We start from the raw sequence: 18,429 nt of genomic DNA on the forward strand, positions 1-18,429 counted from the left end.
GTGCAGGGCGGAGGTGGAGACCGTGGCAGGTGGCCCGGCCATGCCCCCCTCCCAGCTGGAACCCTGGGGGAGCTGGGCACCTGGTTGTTCACACGGCAGGGGAGGAACAGCCCTGTCAACTGCTGGCCCCGGGAAACTGGGCCTGGGGAGGACATGCTTGGGCATAATAAGTTAGCCCTGGGGGCAGGGCAGAGCTGGCCTCGGGCCCAGACCCTGCCGCAATGAGGACAGGCCTGGCTGTGGCCCCAGCATGGTGTCTGTTGCAGGTGGCCGGACTGTGCCATGCTGCTCCAGACCCAAGGTGGCAGCTCTCACTGCGGGGACCCTGCTACTTCTGACAGCCATCGGGGCGGCATCCTGGGCCATTGGTGAGAGCGGTTCCTGTGCCTCTGACCTCCCCTGGCCCCTGCAGCCTCCAGCCTGCCTGCCCTCACCCCTCCCTTCTCTGCAGTGGCTGTTCTCCTCAGGAGTGACCAGGAGCCGCTGTACCCAGGTGAGTGGAGCAGGCTGGGACCCTCTGGGGGAGCCCTGGAGGACACGTGTATCTGGCGGGAGCTCAACAAGCGTATTTGTTGAATAAATGCACAAATGCATGCAGAAATGCTAATCATAATAGTGCATTTGTATTGAGTGCCTGCTATGTACCAGGCACTATTCTAAGCACCCCACATGTCTAACCCAGACTTTTTCAGACACCAGTGTATTACTCATGAGTGCCTCATAAAATTAAATTAGTGAGTTGGAAAACCATGTTTTTTTTTTAAGTATGAAATAGATTCGATTACAGACTATCACAGTACATCTCTCAGTAAGTAAAGGTTATGCTAATTTTTGTTTGTTTTTTTTTTTTTTTGCATCCATATACATGTAATCCCACTGCATCCCCACACTCTGAGGGTGGGACTGTTATTCTCCCTGTTTTACAGATGGGGAAACTGAGGCTTTGAGCAATGCAGCAGTTTGCCCCAGACTACAGAGCTATGGGCTACATCAGGATGTAAAAATGTGTTTCTTACTGCGTGGCATGGTGAAAACATGTTGGGGAGGCATGATATAAATTCAGTGGACCCTTCTAACTCTCCTAGGAGGTAGTTTTTTTGTTTGTTTGTTTTAAAAAAGAAAAAAGTCTTGCTCTGTCACCCAGGCTAGAGTGCAATGGTGCAGTCTCAGCTCACCGCAACCTCTGCCTCCCAGGTTCAAGCGATTCTCCTGCTTCAGCCTCCCAAGTACCTGGGAATACAGGCGTGTGCCACCATGCCCAGTTAATTTTTTGTATTTTTAGTAGAGATGAGATTTCACCATGTTGGCCAGGACGGTCTCTATCTCCTGACCTTGTGATCCACCCGCCTCGGCCTCCCAAAGTGCTGGGATTACAGGCATGAGCCACTGCGCCTGTCCCTGGTAATTAGCTCCATTTTACAGATGTGCAAAATGAGGACCAGAGAGGACATGCAGCTGGGGAACGAGGGGCCAGGAACAGCTCTTAGACTTATCCACTGTAAGTGTGTCTGCAGGCATGTGGAATGAATGGCCACACAAATAAATAGATAAAGAAACTAACTGTGGGATGAATGAATGAATCTTCCCAAATGCCAACTTCAAGCTGCCATTCCCTGATGCAGGACAGCAGGAAAAAAGGGGAAGTTGGGTGGTGGGATGTATTTTTCATGTCTGTGAGCCTCATCTAATTCCATAAAGGATTCAGTTCACACTAAAATCAGAAATGAAAATCCAGACAAGAAAAGCCAACATCAACATTAATCATCATTACCAGCACTTAGCATTTGTATGCACCAGCCAAGGCCTTGGGACCTTATGATATCAACTCATTAAGTCTTCCCAACAACCTGTTGTTTTTCTTTTCTTTTTTTTTTCTTTCTTTCTTTCTTTCTTTTTTTTTTTTTTTTTTTTGAGATGGGGTCTTGCTCTGTCGCCCAGGCTGGAGTGCAGTGACACGATCTTAGCTCATTGTAACCTACATCTCCTGGGCTCAAGCAATCCTCCCATCTCAGCCTTCTGAGTAGCTGGGACTATAGGCTAATGCCACCATGCCTACACAAAATTATTTTGTCAATAACAAATTATTGTTATTTTTATCTTTTTGAGCCAGAGTCTCGCTGTGTCGCCCAGGCAGGAGTGCTGTGGCGCGATCTTGGCTCACTGCAATCTCCATCTCCCAGGTTCAAGTGATTCTCCTGCCTCAGCCTCCTGAGTAGCTAGGACTACAGGCACGTGCCACCACACCCAGCTAATTTTTGTATTTTTAGTAGAGGCGGGGTTTCACCATGTTGGCCAGGATGGTCTCAAACTCCTGACCTCAGGTGATCCACCCGTCTCGGCCTCCCAAAGTGCTGGGACTACAGGCATGAGCCACCACACCCAACCTCATTTTTTAAATTTTTAGTAGAGATGGGATCTTGCTACATTGCCCAGTCTGATCTTGAACTCCTGAGCTCAAAGCAGTCCTCTCAGATCAGCCTCCCAAAGTGCAGGGATTACAGGTGTGCACCACCACAACCCATTTTCCTATGGGGATGCTGAGGCACAGAAAGGCTGAGTGACTTGCCCCAGGTCATGGAGCTAGTCAGTGTCAGGGCTGGGATTTGAACCCAGGCAGCCTGCGTAGTAACTGTATATAGTGTCTACACTTGATTGCTTGTTAAAAAAAAAAAAAAAGAACAGCTGAATTCATTGCCATAGTAAAGACTGACATATGCCAGGCCCTGGCGGCAGCCTTTACCCAGCAGGCCTATGAAGTTAGGGCTGTTACATCCCAACATTTTGCATTTGGGGGAAATTGAGTCCCAGTGAAGCAAACTGACTTGCCCGAGGCTGACCACACATCAGAGACAGAGCGAAGGGATCACGCCCCTGTCAAAAGCCCCTCCGTGACAACACGTGGCATTGAGATAAAATCCCAACCCATCACAGGCTCCAAGCCTCCTAGTGTGGAGGCCCCTCTCCACCCCCACCTCACACTGGCTTCTAGCACCCTCAGGGCCCAGTCCCTTGCTCAAATGACCTGCTCACACAGAAGTCTCTACTCACCCACTTCTTTCTAGCTCACACCCAGAGGCAGATTTCAGTTCTGCACAGTTCCTTCTGAGCTGTGGGGCCTCCCACCAGTCCCTACTCTCTCCAAGACTCAATTTCCTCATCTGTGAGATGGGGGTAAGAAGAATCAGTGGGAATAAGAGGAGATAAAAATCTGTGTAGTACTTGGGCGGGGTGCGGTGGCTCACCCCTGTAATCCCAGCACTTTGGGAGGCCGAGGCAGGCAGATCACCTGAGGTCAGGAGTTCGAGACCAGCCTGGCCAACGTGGTGAAACCTCATCTGTACTAAAAACACAAAAATTGGCCAGGCGTGGTGGCGGGCGCCTGTAATCCCAGCTACTCAGGAGGCTGAGGCAGGAGAACTGTTTGAACCTGGGAGGCGCGGGTTGCAGGTTGCAGTGAACTGAGATCACGCCACTGCACTCCAGCCTGGGTGACAGAGCAAGAGTCTGTCTCAAAAAAAAAAAAAAAAAAAAAGGCTGTGCAGTACTTGCCTCTTAGCCAGCACAGTGGACATTGGCTTTTGTATCTCACTCCTGAAATTCTTTCTTGAAATTTCTTGAGCAAGATCTTCCTGGACTTCCAGACTCTATGGCCTCTCACCCTATGGTGTGTCCCTGCCACCCCGGTAAAACCCTCCTCACTCATTGTGAATTATTTACTCCTGGCGAACTCCAGGAAGGCAGGGACCTTTTGTGGTCAGACGGTGCCTGGCACATAGTAGGTTCTCAGGAAATCCTTGAGTTATGAGTGCACCCAAAGCCAAAACACTGGGATGAACTAGAGAGTCATGGGCCTCCAGCTGGAAAGGAGCGAGGCCACCACTCACACCCGGCTCTGGCCAGCACCACGCCGCCACCCTGCAGAGGTATTTGGGTTTTTCAACAACTCAGGGAAATGATGAAACAAACAAACAAACAAAAACAACCCCAAGCTTGTATCCCCACCTCGCTTTTTTTTTCCTGGGATTTTCACACTTCTAAATATATCCAACAACTTGGCAGGCACACCAGGTGACCCAGAACATCCTTTTTGTGTTGCCTGAAATGATAGGAACAAGAATAAAGAATTTAAAAGTGAGAAACAGCAGCAGAGAGTGTGACTTTAAAAATAGCCAGAGGGGACATTTGATGTTCTCTCCCCACTCCCATCTCCCCCAACACACATCTATAAAGTGATTTTCCCCCCTAAAACCTCACACTTTCTGGAAATCACATTTCCAGAGCAGTTAACAGTCATTTTAAAATAAGAATCCACCCCTCTTCCTGCCCCAGCTGGTGTTTCAAACTCCAAGCCTTGGCTTTCATGGGGTGATGAGGACCCCCCAGCTAGAGGTGCCAGGCATTCCCTGCCCCAACCCCAGAGCAGGAGACCGTAATTAAGGCAGGCCAGGCCGGTGCGGTGGCTCACGCCTGTAATCCCAGCACTTTGGGAGGCCCAAATGGGCAGATCACTTGAGGTCAGGAGACCAGCCTGGCCAACATGGCAAAACCCCATCTCTACTAAAAATACAAAAATTAGCCGGGCGTGGTGGCTGGTGCCTGTAATCCCAGCTATTTGGGAGGCTGAGGCATGAGAATCGCTTGAACTCAGGAGGCAGAGGTTGCAGTGAGCTGAGATCGTGCCACTGCACTCTAGCCTGGGAGACAGAGCAAGACTCCATCTCAAAACAAACTTAAAATAGAATAAAATAAAATAAGAATCCGCCCCCCTCCCCGCCCCAGTTGGTGTTTCAAACCCTGAGACTTGGCCTTGGAATTCATGGGGTGATGAGGACCCCACAGCCAGAGGTGCCAGGCGTTCCCTGCCCCAACCCCAGAGCAGGAGGCCATCATTAAGGCAGGCCAGCCAGGTGGCTTTTCAGTGCCAGCCGTAGCTGAATATATTAGGCAGGGAGACAGGCAAGGGTTTGTATGAGACCCACAGAAGGAACAGGGAATATGCTGGTCTGGGTTCAAGTCCCGGTTTTGCTGGTTAGCCGTGTGCCTCTGGGCAAGTTTATTCCTCTGAGGCTTAGTTTTCCCATCTGTAAGATGGGCATAGAAGTGGTCACTACTGGCTGGGCACAGTGGCTCACGCCTGTAATCCCAGCACTTGGGGAGGCCAAGGCAGGTGGATCACCTGAGGCCAGAAGTTTGAGACCAGCCTGGCCAACATGGTGAAACGCTGTTTCTACTAAGAACACAAAAGTTAGCCAGGTGTAGTAGCATGTGCCTGTAATCCCAGCTACTCGGGAGGCTGAGGCAGGAGGATCGCTTGAACCTGGGAGGCAGAGGTTGCAGTGAGCCGAGATCATGCCACTGCACTCCAGCCTGAGCAACAGAGCAAGATTATGTCTCAAAAAAAAAAAAAAAAACCGAAGTGGTCACTATCTCCGAGGATGGTTGTGGGATTCAGAGAGCCACTTGGATAGGATGCATAGCATGGGGCCAGCCCACTGACACCCCCCAGTAAACGTAGCCAGTGCTATTATTACTGTGCTGTTGTTTAACCCTCCAGAGGGGAAGTCTCTTGAGAGGCTGTCCAGGGCAATGTTAAAAGCTTGGGGTTTGAAGTCACTCAGACCTGATTTCGAATCCTCTCTCCCTGCTTCTCGTGCATTTGGTGACGTTGGGGAAGCCACCCCACCTCTCTGAGCCTCAGCTTCCCCGTCTGGAATTTGGGGATGATCTTCGTGGCTCCTGGGGTGTGCGACGAGGCCTTGGTTGATGGTGGGGCAGAGGTAGCCTAGCCCCAGGAACACAGTAGGTCCTCAGCTGGGGAGAGTTCTACTTGGAAGTCTTGCTTCTCCTTGTCCCAACCTGCGGGGCTGTGGGAAGACCCCTCAGCTGGTGTGTGGCCTCACCAGGTTCCTTCTAAGAGGATGCAAAAGCAAGTTTTCATTTGACTCGGTTTCCCAGAATGTGCTCTCAGAGCCCAGGCCAGGCAGGAGGCTCTTGAGAAAAGGACAAAAAGACATGGTGGCTCACACCTGCCATCCCAGCACTTTGGGAGGCCAAGGTGGGAGGATTGCTTGAGGCCAGGAGTTTGAGATCAGCCTGGACAATATAGCAATACCCTGTCTCTACAGAAAAAAATAAATTTAAAAGGCGTTTTTAGCTCAGGCTTTGCTGGGTTCTAACCTGGCTATTGTCACTCAGCTTTATCCTAACATAAAAAAATAAACAAATTAGCAGGGTGTGGTGGTATGCCCCTGTGGTCCTAGCTACTTGGGAGGTTGAGGCGGGAGGATCGTTTGAGCCCAGGAGGTTGAGGCTGCAATGAGCTATGATCGTGCCACTGCACTCCAGCCTGGGTGGTGGAGCGAGACCCTGTCTCAAAAAAGAAAAAAAAAAGTGGCAGGGAGAAGGAAAGGAAAGGACAAAGAGGTTCACAGCTGATCTCTCCCTGAACCTGCTCCTTCCGTCCCCATCTCTGTCAGCCCCATCTTTTCAGGCTCAGGCCAAACCCCTCGGTTACCCTCCCAGTTCCTCCAGTCACCCATGAATCAGATCTTGCAGGAAACCCTGTCAGCTGCACCTACAGAACCTCTCCAAAATCTGAACTCTTCTCCCCGTCCACTGCCCCCACCCTGCTCCAGCCCCCTTCCCCTCCCCTCTGGACATCCCAGAGCCTCCTCCCTGGCCTCCCTGCTCCCATCCCTGCCCCCCAATCATATCCCACAAAGGGGATATGACTCACTCACTTAACCGGCAATTCTGGAGGGTCTTAAAACCTGGCTGCCTCAAGAGGCTTTAAAATGTTATCAGATGGGGGCCAGGTACAGTGGCTCATGCTGGTTCCCCACTTGCAGCCAGAGGGAGCTGGTGACCACCTGAGTCAGGTCAGGGCCCTCCCCTGGCTGCACCTCACACCAGGTGCCAGCAAAGCCCTGATGTTGCTCTATTTCTAGCTCCCACCTGATCTGCCCCTCCCTGGCTCACTCTGCTCTGGCCTCCCACTGTTCCTGGAGCACTCCCCCCAGTCCCCCACACCAGCCTTGGGATCTTTGCATCTGCAAGTCCCTCTGTCTCCGTGCTGATCTCACACACCTCCTGACACTTTCTCACCTCCTGCAGGTCTTTGTTCTTGCACCACCTTCCCAGGGACGCTCTCCTTGCAGCGACTGAAAAGTGCAACCTCACCCCACCCTCCATGCCGGCACTCCCCTCCCTCGGTGGCATTTTATTTTTCTCTGTGGCCCCTTCCTATCTTGTGACACATAATATATCCTACTTATTTGTCCCTTTCTTGATTTGTCTCACCTACTGAGCTTTGAGTTCCACAGGGGTCGGGGTTTTTGTCTGATTTGTTCATTGCAGTGGTGATTTGTTCACTGCCTAAAATAGAGCCTGGCAGGTACAAAGTGTTTGGTAAATAGAAATCAATACCCCAGGGTCTGTGACCTGACTTAGGTGTTAACAGGTTCCTCTGAGGTGTGTGGGGAACAGACTGAGGGGTTTCAGGGGACATCTGTTCTCACCACAAATTGCCCCCCAACCAGCCCCAGACATGAACAGTCTCCCGGGAGCTCCCTCTAGCCTTCTCGTATATCCCAGCCCTGCCTCATGTCACAATTTGTAATGATGTGTTTGGCTGGGTGACATTTTATGGCCATCTGTCTCCCTATCCCCTATAATGTGGTTTGCCGAAAGCAAAGCCCAGGACTGTCTCGGCCATCTGTGTCTCCAGGATCACCCCTCACTGGGCATGGAGTATGTGTCCAGTTAACGCTTGCTGAGTGAATGAATGAATACTCCATCCTCTGCCTGGAGAATTACGCACTTTAGCATATCCAAGGCTCTGACAAGTCCTGCATAAAAGAGCATTATTGTTTTCTTTCTTTCTTTCCTTCTTTCCCTCTTCTTTTCTTTCTGACTATAGGATATTGATTATCAATCTGGCAATAGTCAAGATTGGCAGTCTGGTGTATTAGTCAAAGGTTTTCAGCCTACAAAAGACAAAAAGAAAAAATAAACTGGCTAAAAACAAAAGGGGATATGATTTACTAACTCACTTAACCGACAGTCACAGAGGTTCTTCAAACCTGGCTGTATCAAGGGGCTTTAAAATGTTATCAGATGGGGGCCAGGTGCAGTAGCTCACGCCTGTCATCCAGCACTTTGGGAGGCCAAGACAGGCAGATCACTTGAGGTCAGGAGTTCGAGACCAGCCTGGCCAACATGGTGAAACCCCGTGTCTACTAAAAATACAAAAAATTAGCCAAGTGTGGTGGCATGTGTCTGTAGCTCCAGCTACTCGGGAGGCTGAGGCAGGACAATGGCTTGAATCCGGGAGGCGGAGGTTACAGTGACCCAAGGTTGCACCAGTGCATTCCAGCCTGGGTGACAGAGCGAGACTCTGTCTCAAAAAAAAAAAAAAAGTTATCAGATGGGAAATGAATTCCGATATTAAAAATTGATATGTATTTATACTATATTATTAAAGTTATTTTTCATAAAACATAGAAGGGTAAGTTTAAGAAATGAGAAGTATTTATACCAAAATGATTAAATATTATTTAATTTAAAGATATAAATGTCTTGTTGGACAAATAATTCAAAATTTCCATTAGACAGGAAAAATAAGTTCAAGAGATATATTGAACAACATGGTGATTATAGTTAATAACAATATATTATATACTTGAACATTGCTAAAAGATATTTTAAGTGTTCTCACCACACACAAAGGGTAGTGCATGTGTTAATTAGCTTGATTTAGCCGTTCCACAACGTATACATATTTCACATCATCTTGTACACCATCAATGTATATAATTTTGTCAATTAAAATAAATACATATTTTAAGGCCGGGTGCAGTGGCTCACACCTATAATCGCAGCACTTTGGGAGGCCGAGGCAGGCAGATCACCTGAGGTCAGGAGTTTGAGACTAGCCTGGCCAACATGGTGAAACCCCATCTCTACTTAAAATACAAAAAAATTAGCTGGGCATGGTGGTGCATGTCTGTAATCCCAGCCACTCGGGAGGCTGAGGCAGAAGAATCGCTTGAACCCGGGAGGCAGAGGTTGCAGTGAGCTGAGATTGCACCACTGCACACCAGCCTGGACAACAGAGTGAGACTCCGTCTCAAAAAAATAAATAAATAAAAATAAAATAAATACATATATATTTTTGAGATGGAGTCTCACTCTGTCGCCCAAACTGGAGTGCAGTGGCACGATCTTGGCTCACTGCAACCTCTGCTGCCCAGGTTCAAGCAATTCTCCTGCCTCAGCCTCCCGAGTAGCTGGGATTACAGGCACCTGCCATCATGCCTGGCTAATTTTTGTAGTTTTCATAGAGACGAGGTTTCATCATCTTGGCCAGGCTGGTCTTGAACTCCTGACCTTGTGATCCACCCATCTCGGCCTCCCAAATAAATACATATTTTAAAAGATAGAAATCACTCTGGAAGGAGAGTTAATCTGTTTGATATAATAATAATAATATATTAATATTATATTATAACAATATATTAGTATTATATTCTAATAATATATTAATATTATATTATAATAATATATTATTATATTATAACAATATATTAATATTATATTATAACAATATATTAATATTATATTATGTAATAATAATACTACTCCATATAGCTATGGAAAAGTTCATATGAAGAAACCAGGCTATGATCTACAAACTGGCAACAAATTTGTTCTTCTATTTTCCATATGCTGTCTGTGTACGTATAAAGTGAGAGGTCTTTTTATATGAGTTAAGGGTGTGACCAAAGACAAATGGAAAAAGACAAATGACAAACATACTAATAAAGAGCTTCGGTTTCTCCACAAAAAATACAATAATAAAATAAAATGTTATCAGAAATCTCTTGACTCTCCTCCACGTTAGCTCACTTTTTCCCTCAAGAGGGTGAACATGACCCTTAACAGATCCAGCCTCAAGTGCTGGATTCTCTTGGGAACTTGGTTAAATGGTTTTTTTTCTTCCCGAATGTCCAAGTCACCTTCCAGACCTGCAGCTCCTGAGCAGCCAACTTAGGACTTCTAATGGAGAGTGAAGTTCCCCTGGTTCGCGGAGGGGCCGGCCACAGCCTCAAGGCTGCTGTTGATTGGTCCGACCTGAGTCCTTGAGTCTGGCAGAGTGCCATGGTGCTCTGTAATCCCACCTGTAATCCCAGCATTTTAGGAGGCAGAGGCAGGAAGATTGCTTGAGCCTAGGAGTTCAAGACCAGCCTGGGCAACATAGCAAGACCCGTCTCTACAAAACAAAACAAAACAAAACAAACAAACAAAAAAATTAGTCAGGTGTGGTGGTGCACGCCTGTGGTCCTAGCTACTCAGGAGGTTGAGGTAGGAGGATTTCTTGAGTCTGGGAGGTCAAGGCTACAGTGAGCCAAGATCACACCACTACACTCCAGCCTGGGCAACAGAGCGAGACCCTGTCTTTAAAAAAAAAAAGTCCTTGAGTCATGATTCCAGATGCAATCGCAGATGTGGGGGCTGCAACCCTCCGATGGGCTGGGGTTCACGTCTACACCACATGGCTGGAGCACAGGCCAGGAGGGGCTCCGGCTGGGGAAGCATGTGGGGAGCCTGGCTGTGGGACCCAGGCGGCCCCGGGCCCTGTCGCCCTGCAGTGCAGGTCAGCTCTGCGGACGCTCGGCTCATGGTCTTTGACAAGACGGAAGGGACGTGGCGGCTGCTGTGCTCCTCGCGCTCCAACGCCAGGGTAGCCGGACTCAGCTGCGAGGAGATGGGCTTCCTCAGGTACTGGGGGCCCTCGGAGGGGTGGGAGCCGGGAGGGGCTGGGGAGCAGGCCTAACCCCTGCCCCGCCCAGGGCACTGACCCACTCCGAGCTGGACGTGCGAACGGCGGGCGCCAATGGCACGTCGGGCTTCTTCTGTGTGGACGAGGGGAGGCTGCCCCACACCCAGAGGCTGCTGGAGGTCATCTCCGTGTGGTGAGGAGGGCAGCGGGCAGGTGGGGCAACACCTCAGACCCCCAAGGCACTCCCTCTCCCCGTTTTCCTTCCACCTGTCTTAACTGGTCTCTATTTCCTTTCTTTCTGTGTCTCCAATCCCATCTCTCCCAGTGATTGCCCCAGAGGCCGTTTCTTGGCCGCCATCTGCCAAGGTGAGATCCTAAAACTCAGAACCCTCTCCTTTAGGCCCTTGGGGAGGCCACGTCCCCTCAAGCTCCCCAGGATGGGGCCATGTACTTTCAGACCCCCTAGGGCAGGGCCAAGCCTGGGCTCTGGGGACCTGGGCTCCAGTCCCCTGTCGCCGCCCCCTGCTGACCCTTGTCCCACAGACTGTGGCCGCAGGAAGCTGCCCGTGGACCGCATCGTGGGAGGCCGGGACACCAGCTTGGGCCGGTGGCCGTGGCAAGTCAGCCTTCGCTATGATGGAGCACACCTCTGTGGGGGATCCCTGCTCTCCGGGGACTGGGTGCTGACAGCCGCCCACTGCTTCCCGGAGTGAGTGCCCCCCAATGGCGCTGATGATGGGGAGGCAGAGGAGCGGAGAGACAGTGGGGAGGAGGGCGGATTGTGCCCAGGCAGGTGGCCACCCTCCACCCCTTTCCCTGGTAGGCGGAACCGGGTCCTGTCCCGATGGCGAGTGTTTGCCGGTGCCGTGGCCCAGGCCTCTCCCCACGGTCTGCAGCTGGGGGTGCAGGCTGTGGTCTACCACGGGGGCTATCTTCCCTTTCGGGACCCCAACAGCGAGGAGAACAGCAACGATATTGCCCTGGTCCACCTCTCCAGTCCCCTGCCCCTCACAGGTAAGTCTAAGGGCTGAGCCATGGGGCTTGAGGACCCGAGGCCAGGAGGACAGAGGAGGGGACCAGGGGCACAAGGCAATCAACTTATGGCTCAGGCATCCTTGGCAATAAGGGGAATGATCTCGAGGGAGCACAAAGTGGGCCTTAACTATCAATGATCAGTGCAGCCAATTTGGAAAATTTGCCAGCATTTCCCCAAGAAGTATACATAAAGTTACCATTGGACCCAACACTTCCACTCCCAGGACAGGAGGTATATACCTAAGACAAATGGAAACTGTGTCTGCACCAAAACTCGTACATCAGTGTTCATAGCAGCATTATTCATAATAGCCCAAAGATGGAAACAGCCCAAGACTGTTTCATCGGACAAATGCATAAAGAAAATGTGGTATATTGACCGGGCGCGGTGGCTCATGCCTGTAATCCCAGCACTTTGGGAGGCCGAGGTGGGTGGATCACGAGGTCAGGAGTTTGAAACCAGCCTGGCCAACATGGTGAAACTCCATCTCTACTAAAAATACAAAAATTAGCCTGGCCAACATGGTGAAACTCCATCTCTACTAAAAATACAAAAATTAGCCTGGCCAACATGGTGAAACTCCATCTCTACTAAAAATACAAAAATTAGCCTGGCGTGGTGGCACACGCCTGTAATCCCAGCTACTCGGGAGGATGAGGCAGGAGAATCTCTTGAACCCGGGAGGTGGAGATTGCAGTGAGCCGAGATCACACCACTGCACTCCAGCCTGGCTGACAGAGCAAGGCTCTGTCATCTTGAAAATAAATAAATAAATAACAAAAAAAATGTGGTATATCCACACAACGGGAGAATATTGGACCATAGAAATGAATGAGGTACTGATTCATGCTACCACAAGGATGAAACTTGAGAACAGTGCTGAATGAGACAAGCCAGCCGCAAAGGCCACATACTGTAGGATGCCACTTGTATGAAATGTACAAGGCTGGGCACGGTGGCTCACGCCTGTAATCCTGGCACTCTGGGCAGCTGAGATGGGAGGATTGTTTGTGCTCAGGAGTTTAAGACCAGCCTGGGCAACATAGCAAGACCCCATCACTTAAAAAAATGAGCTAGGTGTGGTGACGGATACCTGTAGTTCCAGTTACTCAGGAGGCTAAGGCAGGAGGATCACTTGAGCCCAGGAGTTTGAGGCTGCAGTGGGCTAGGATTGTGCCACTGTACTCCAGCCTGGGTAACAGAGCAAAACCTTGTCTGTTAAAAAAAGAAGAAAGAAAGAAAGAGAAAGAAAAGAAAGGAAGGAAGGAAGAAAAGAAGAAAAGAAAAGGAAAGAAAGAAAAGAAATGTCTAGAATAGGCACATCGGTAGAGATAGAAAGTTGATTGATGGTGGCAGGGTGGGAGGTGGGGATGGGAGATTGGGAGGTGACTGGTGAAGGACACAAGGTTTCTTGTCTGGGTGATGAAAGATTCTAAGTCGATCATGATCATGGTTGCACTTGTCTGTGACTACACAAAAAGCCAGTGACTTGTGCCTTTAAAAGGAATTGTCTAATATGTGAATAGTAGTTCAATCAAGCTGTTACCAAAAAACTAATAAAATGAAAAGAAAATGTGTTAAAAATGAATGAATCAGACTTAGAAAGTAAGTTAGGAGTCATTCCCTCTGCAATTCCCTGGAGTATTCCCTTGGTCTTACTGAGACTCACTTAGGTGCCAACATGTCCTTAACACCTCTCCAACACATACATCTTCCTTTTGGATTAAAAGCAGGCCCTGGGCTTCAGATTTCAGCAGGCTGCAGTGTAATAATAATAATAAAAATAGGCTGGGCATGTAATCCCAGGCCAAGGTGGGGGTATCGCTTGAGCTCAGGAGTTCAAGACTCGCCTGGGCAACATGGCAAAACCCCATCTCTACAAACAAAAAAAATTAGCTGGCTGTGGTGGTGCGCGCCTGTGGTCCCAGCTACTTGGGAGGCGGAGGCAGGAGAATCACCTGATCACCCAGGAGATCAAGGCTGCAGTGAGCCATGATCACACCACTGCATTCCAGCCTGGTTGATAGAGCGAGACCCTGTCTCAGAACATAATAATAATAACGGTGATAATGATGATCATGAAGTAGTAATAGCGAGTAGTATTCGAGTTCATGATTGAGTATTCGAGTATAGCGAGTTCATGATCATGAAGTAGTAAAAGGGAATAAGGGAGTACATGATGAGTGTACACAACACAGTAAAATAATCTGGTAAACATAGCAGTGTGCCAGGCACCATTCCAAATATGTCCTGTGTATGGACTCACTTAGTTCTCACAGCAACCCCAGCACACCCTGGTAAGGAGGGTTCTCTTAAGATCCTGTTTTCCACCCAGGAAAAGGTCCCAACCCAAAGAAGGCAAACAATGCCCCAAATTCGTACAGCTGGTGAACGGCAAAGATTTGTGCCCAGGTGGACTGGCACTGGAATCTGTGCTTGTGGCCCCCACGCTGTGGTGACGGAGAATCCAGGGCCATGTTGGGGTTGGCATTATGTTTATTTTTATGTTTATTTTATTTTTCATGATCTGTGGTACTGGTTTCCCATTGAAGGGAGTGATACATGCTTTTCTTTAAAACCAAACCCTGTCCTGACATGGTGGCTCACGCCTGTAATCCCAGCACTTTGAGAGGCTGAAGCGGGCAGATCACTTGAGGTCGGGAGTTTGAGACCAGCCTGGCCAACGTGGTGAAACCCCATCTCTACTAAAAACACAAAAATTAGCCAGGTGTAGTGGCAGGCACCTGTAGTCTCAGCTACTCTGGAGGCAGAGGCAGGAGAATCACTTGAACCCAGGAGGTGGAGGTTGCAGTGAGCCAAGATCGTTGCCACACCCTTCTCCTTAGTGAAAAGAGTGAGAGAGTTAATATTGAAGTAAGGACGCATCTTTGAGGACAGGTGGACAGGTGGAAGCGGCTGGGATTTCAGACACAGGGCTGAGGGGGTCACAGCATGGGCTTTGGGGTCAGATTCAGATATTTGCCAACTGTGTGATCTTGGACACATGGCTTCACCTCACCGTGCCTCAGTTTCCCTTATCTGTAAAATGACTTCCTAGGGTTATTGAGACAATTAAAAGGGTTAATATGAGTAAAGAGCTTAGAGAACTGCCAGCACATAGTGAACACTGGTAAATGTTAGCAATTGCTACTATTGTTGTTTAATACTTTTACTAGTTATATGAACACTTGCTGTTTGCCTGGCATGCAACTCAATGACTCACCAATTTCTCACTACAACTTCTGGGGATAAGTGATTATTATTTCCATTCTACATCTGAGAGCTCTAAGACTCAGGCAGGTGATGTCATCAGCAGGCAGCAGGCAGCAGGCAACAGGCAGGGCTGCCAGGAACCCTTGCATAGGTTGTGCACTGCACAAGGACACCACATCTCAGGGTTACCACTCTCTCTGTAGACCTGTGTATTTATTATTATGATTTTCTGCTAGGTGGAAGTCAAATGTCTCAAGATAGGAGTGTCTCTCTCTCTCTCTCTCTCTTTCTTCTCTCTCTCTCTTTCTTTTTTTGAGACAGAGTCTTGCTCTGTCACCCAGGCTGGAGTGCAATGGCGCAATCTCGGCTCCCTGCAAACTCTGCCTCCTAGGTTCAAGCGATTCTCCTGCCTCAGCCTCCTGAGTAGCTGGGATTACAGGCACCTGCCATCTGTAATCCCAGTGCTTTGGGAGGCTGAGGCAGGAGGATTGCTTGAGCCCAGGAGGTCGAGGCTGCAGTGAGCCATGTTCCTGCCACTGCACTCTGGCCTGGGTGACACTGCAGGCTTAGAAATGAAAACAAGCTGTGTTAAAACATACATGTTATGAAACTTTGGACACGTGACTTGGCCTCATTTTCCCCCTCTCTAAAATGGGATAATATAGACCCTACCTCTCTGGGCTGATGAAACATTAAAGAAAATGGTGCAGGAAGGCGCCTAGTATGCGATGAGCTCTTGGTACGTGGCGACTTCCGTTGTGGCTTTTTTGTTTGTTTGTTTGTTTTTGAGACAGAGTCTTGCTCTGTCGCCCAGGCTGGAGTGCAATGACATGATCTCGGCTCACTGCAACCTCCACCTCCTGGGTTCAAGTGATTCTTCTGCCTCAGTCTCCCGAGTAGCTGGGATTACAGGTGCGTGCCACCATGCCCGGCTAATTTTTGTATTTTTAGTAGAGATGAGGTTTCGCCACGTTGGCCAGGCTGGTCTCAAACTCCTGACATCAAGTGATCCTCCTGCCTCGGCCTCCCAAAGTGCTGGGATTACAGGCATGAGCCACTGTGCCCAGCCTATTGTGGTTTTTTTTTTAAAGAACAGAGAGGGCAGGGTGTGTTAGGGGCCATGGTAGCAGCTGGACAGAGGTTTGTACCAGGTGGGGCAGGCCAGCGGGGGCTGGACCAGCATTGTCTCTCTCACAGAATACATCCAGCCTGTGTGCCTCCCAGCTGCCGGCCAGGCCCTGGTGGATGGCAAGATCTGTACCGTGACGGGCTGGGGCAACACGCAGTACTATGGTGAGTCCTGTCCTCTGCCTCTGATGCCACCGTTTGGGAGACTCTGAACTAGGCTGGGGATGGGCAGTCTGGCTGGTTGGATGAGTCTTGACCATGAGGAGTAGGGACGCTGAGGGGAATGGGGTGGGCACCAGGAGGGAAGGGGGGTGTGTACACCCCCCAGCTCTGGCCAGCCTTGCCTGCACACCCCCAGGCCAACAGGCCGGGGTACTCCAGGAGGCTCGAGTCCCCATAATCAGCAATGATGTCTGCAATGGCGCTGACTTCTATGGAAACCAGATCAAGCCCAAGATGTTCTGTGCTGGCTACCCCGAGGGTGGCATTGATGCCTGCCAGGTGAGGGACTCTGTAGGGGCAGCCCCCTGGTCGCTGCCACCCCAGGGATGGAGATGCAGGGGAGTGGGTGGTCAGGCTCCCCATCTAAAAGCCTGAGGGCTCTGGGGCCACAGCCCATGTCATCCCGGGGTGGGCCTCCTGTCCAACCACTTTGGCCTTCAGCCAGACCTCCCTCTCCCCTCCCAGGGCGACAGCGGTGGTCCCTTTGTGTGTGAGGACAGCATCTCTCGGACGCCACGTTGGCGGCTGTGTGGCATTGTGAGTTGGGGCACTGGCTGTGCCCTGGCCCAGAAGCCAGGCGTCTACACCAAAGTCAGTGACTTCCGGGAGTGGATCTTCCAGGCCATAAAGGTGAAAGTTGGGTCCAGATGGGAGCCAGGGTGGGGACGTTTGGGTGTCTAATGGGGGAAGGGAGGCAGAGATTTGTTTTAGGAAACCTACGCTCAGGCCTAGAAGAGGGCCCCCCTTGGGAACAGATGGACTTTGAAGGGTTCCTGGGGAAGGGAAGCCAGTGGTGGGACGTGGAAGCCTCTCAGACCTCGGGAGCCCCCAGCTGTCTTTCCCCAGACTCACTCCGAAGCCAGCGGCATGGTGACCCAGCTCTGACCGGTGGCTTCTCGCTGCGCAGCCTCCAGGGCCCGAGGTGATCCCGGTGGTGGGATCCACGCTGGGCCTAGGATGGGACGTTTTTCTTCTTGGGCCCGGTCCACAGGTCCAAGGACACCCTCCCTCCAGGGTCCTCTCTTCCACAGTGGCGGGCCCACTCAGCCCCGAGACCACCCAACCTCACCCTCCTGACCCCCATGTAAATATTGTTCTGCTGTCTGGGACTCCTGTCTAGGTGCCCCTGATGACGGGATGCTCTTTAAATAATAAAGATGGTTTTGATTAATGTGGCCTCCGAGCTTACAAATGTACACAGCAATGAGGACATTTTGTCAGGAAGGAAGAGAAGAATTAGGACCTGGCGCAAATCAGACAGAGAGTGTGGGTCCCTCAGTTCCCACTGATTTGAGATTTAAGATTTTAATTGGTTCACTTAACTGGAATTTTCCTGGAGCAAATTGGCTTCAGGTACAGCTGGATCCAGCTGCTCTCTCAAATCTGCCTTAGGCTGTGTTAGCTTCATTTCCAAGCAGCCTCTCCTACAACCAGAGAGAGAGATGTCCCCTTCCACACAAACTCTTTCCCAATCACTGCAGAAAAAGTCCCAGGCAACAACAACAAAAACCCAGGCCCAGCTCCCATTGTACAGATTTGGGTCACGTGCTCATCCCTTGGCAAATCACTGTGCACCGGATGTACGCGGTAGGGGTGGAGCGGGGTGGAGTGGGAGGCGCTAGGCCTTCAAGAATCGTGTGACCTGAGTGTGGGAGTCCCAAAGGAAATAGGGTGCTATTTCCAGAAGTGGAAATAGATGCTCAGTGAGCAAAAAAGACATCTACCTTGAACCAACACGGAAAACGGGGCCCTGTAAGGTGGAGATAGGGAGACGCTGGGAACACAGCCTGAGACCCTCCCCCAACCCCTTTCTCCATCTGGGCAGCTTCTGGGGAGGAACCCCCTTCTGTAGAGCCTCTGCAGAGCCTCATGCAGCCCCGATGGCCACCAGGGGGCACTGCTGCCCCAACATTGTGACACATTAAGGGGTTTCCTGCCTGGAGTCAGCCGCATGTTGCTGAAAACCTGCTGTTCTGCTGAAGAAAGGCTCAGCGGGGGAGCCTGTTCACCATGACTTTAAATAATAACAATTATCATACATCACCCATGG

General features: G+C 50.2%; 1 protein-coding gene and 1 long non-coding RNA gene across 8 annotated transcripts in view, besides 1 other annotated feature; one reads left to right on the top strand and one right to left on the bottom strand.

Annotated features, from left to right (window-relative positions):
• Positions 1-17,550, top strand: part of HPN (hepsin) — a 26,068-nt gene extending 8,518 nt beyond the window's left edge. For 6 of the 7 annotated variants that reach the window (NM_182983.5, NM_002151.5, XM_047438741.1 and 3 more), the window contains 11 exons: positions 267-368; positions 452-493; positions 10,650-10,779; positions 10,851-10,973; positions 11,106-11,146; positions 11,324-11,489; positions 11,604-11,794; positions 16,227-16,322; positions 16,516-16,658; positions 16,845-17,009; positions 17,226-17,550. In NM_182983.5, the coding sequence (NP_892028.1) occupies positions 267-368; positions 452-493; positions 10,650-10,779; positions 10,851-10,973; positions 11,106-11,146; positions 11,324-11,489; positions 11,604-11,794; positions 16,227-16,322; positions 16,516-16,658; positions 16,845-17,009; positions 17,226-17,264 (1,238 nt within the window). In that variant the 3' untranslated portion in view covers positions 17,265-17,550. The other variant, XM_017026732.2, reaches the window with a different exon arrangement.
• Positions 10,036-18,429, bottom strand: part of HPN-AS1 (HPN antisense RNA 1) — a 47,246-nt gene continuing 38,852 nt past the window's right edge. The window contains exon 4 of the long non-coding RNA NR_024562.1: positions 10,036-10,755. This is a non-coding gene — a long non-coding RNA (HPN antisense RNA 1). The remainder of the gene's footprint in view (positions 10,756-18,429) is intronic.
• Positions 16,636-17,397: an enhancer, noted in NCBI's record as "H3K4me1 hESC enhancer chr19:35556563-35557324 (GRCh37/hg19 assembly coordinates)". NCBI's record gives its function as "activates a minimal SCP1, AML or CMV promoter by ChIP-STARR-seq in primed H9 embryonic stem cells {active_cell/tissue: H9 hESC(primed)}" and the evidence as "EXISTENCE:reporter gene assay evidence [ECO:0000049][PMID:30033119]".

The sequence above is a fragment of the Homo sapiens genome, chromosome 19 (assembly GCF_000001405.40).
Source record: "Homo sapiens chromosome 19, GRCh38.p14 Primary Assembly".
In the NCBI taxonomy this organism is placed as follows: domain Eukaryota; kingdom Metazoa; phylum Chordata; class Mammalia; order Primates; family Hominidae; genus Homo; species Homo sapiens.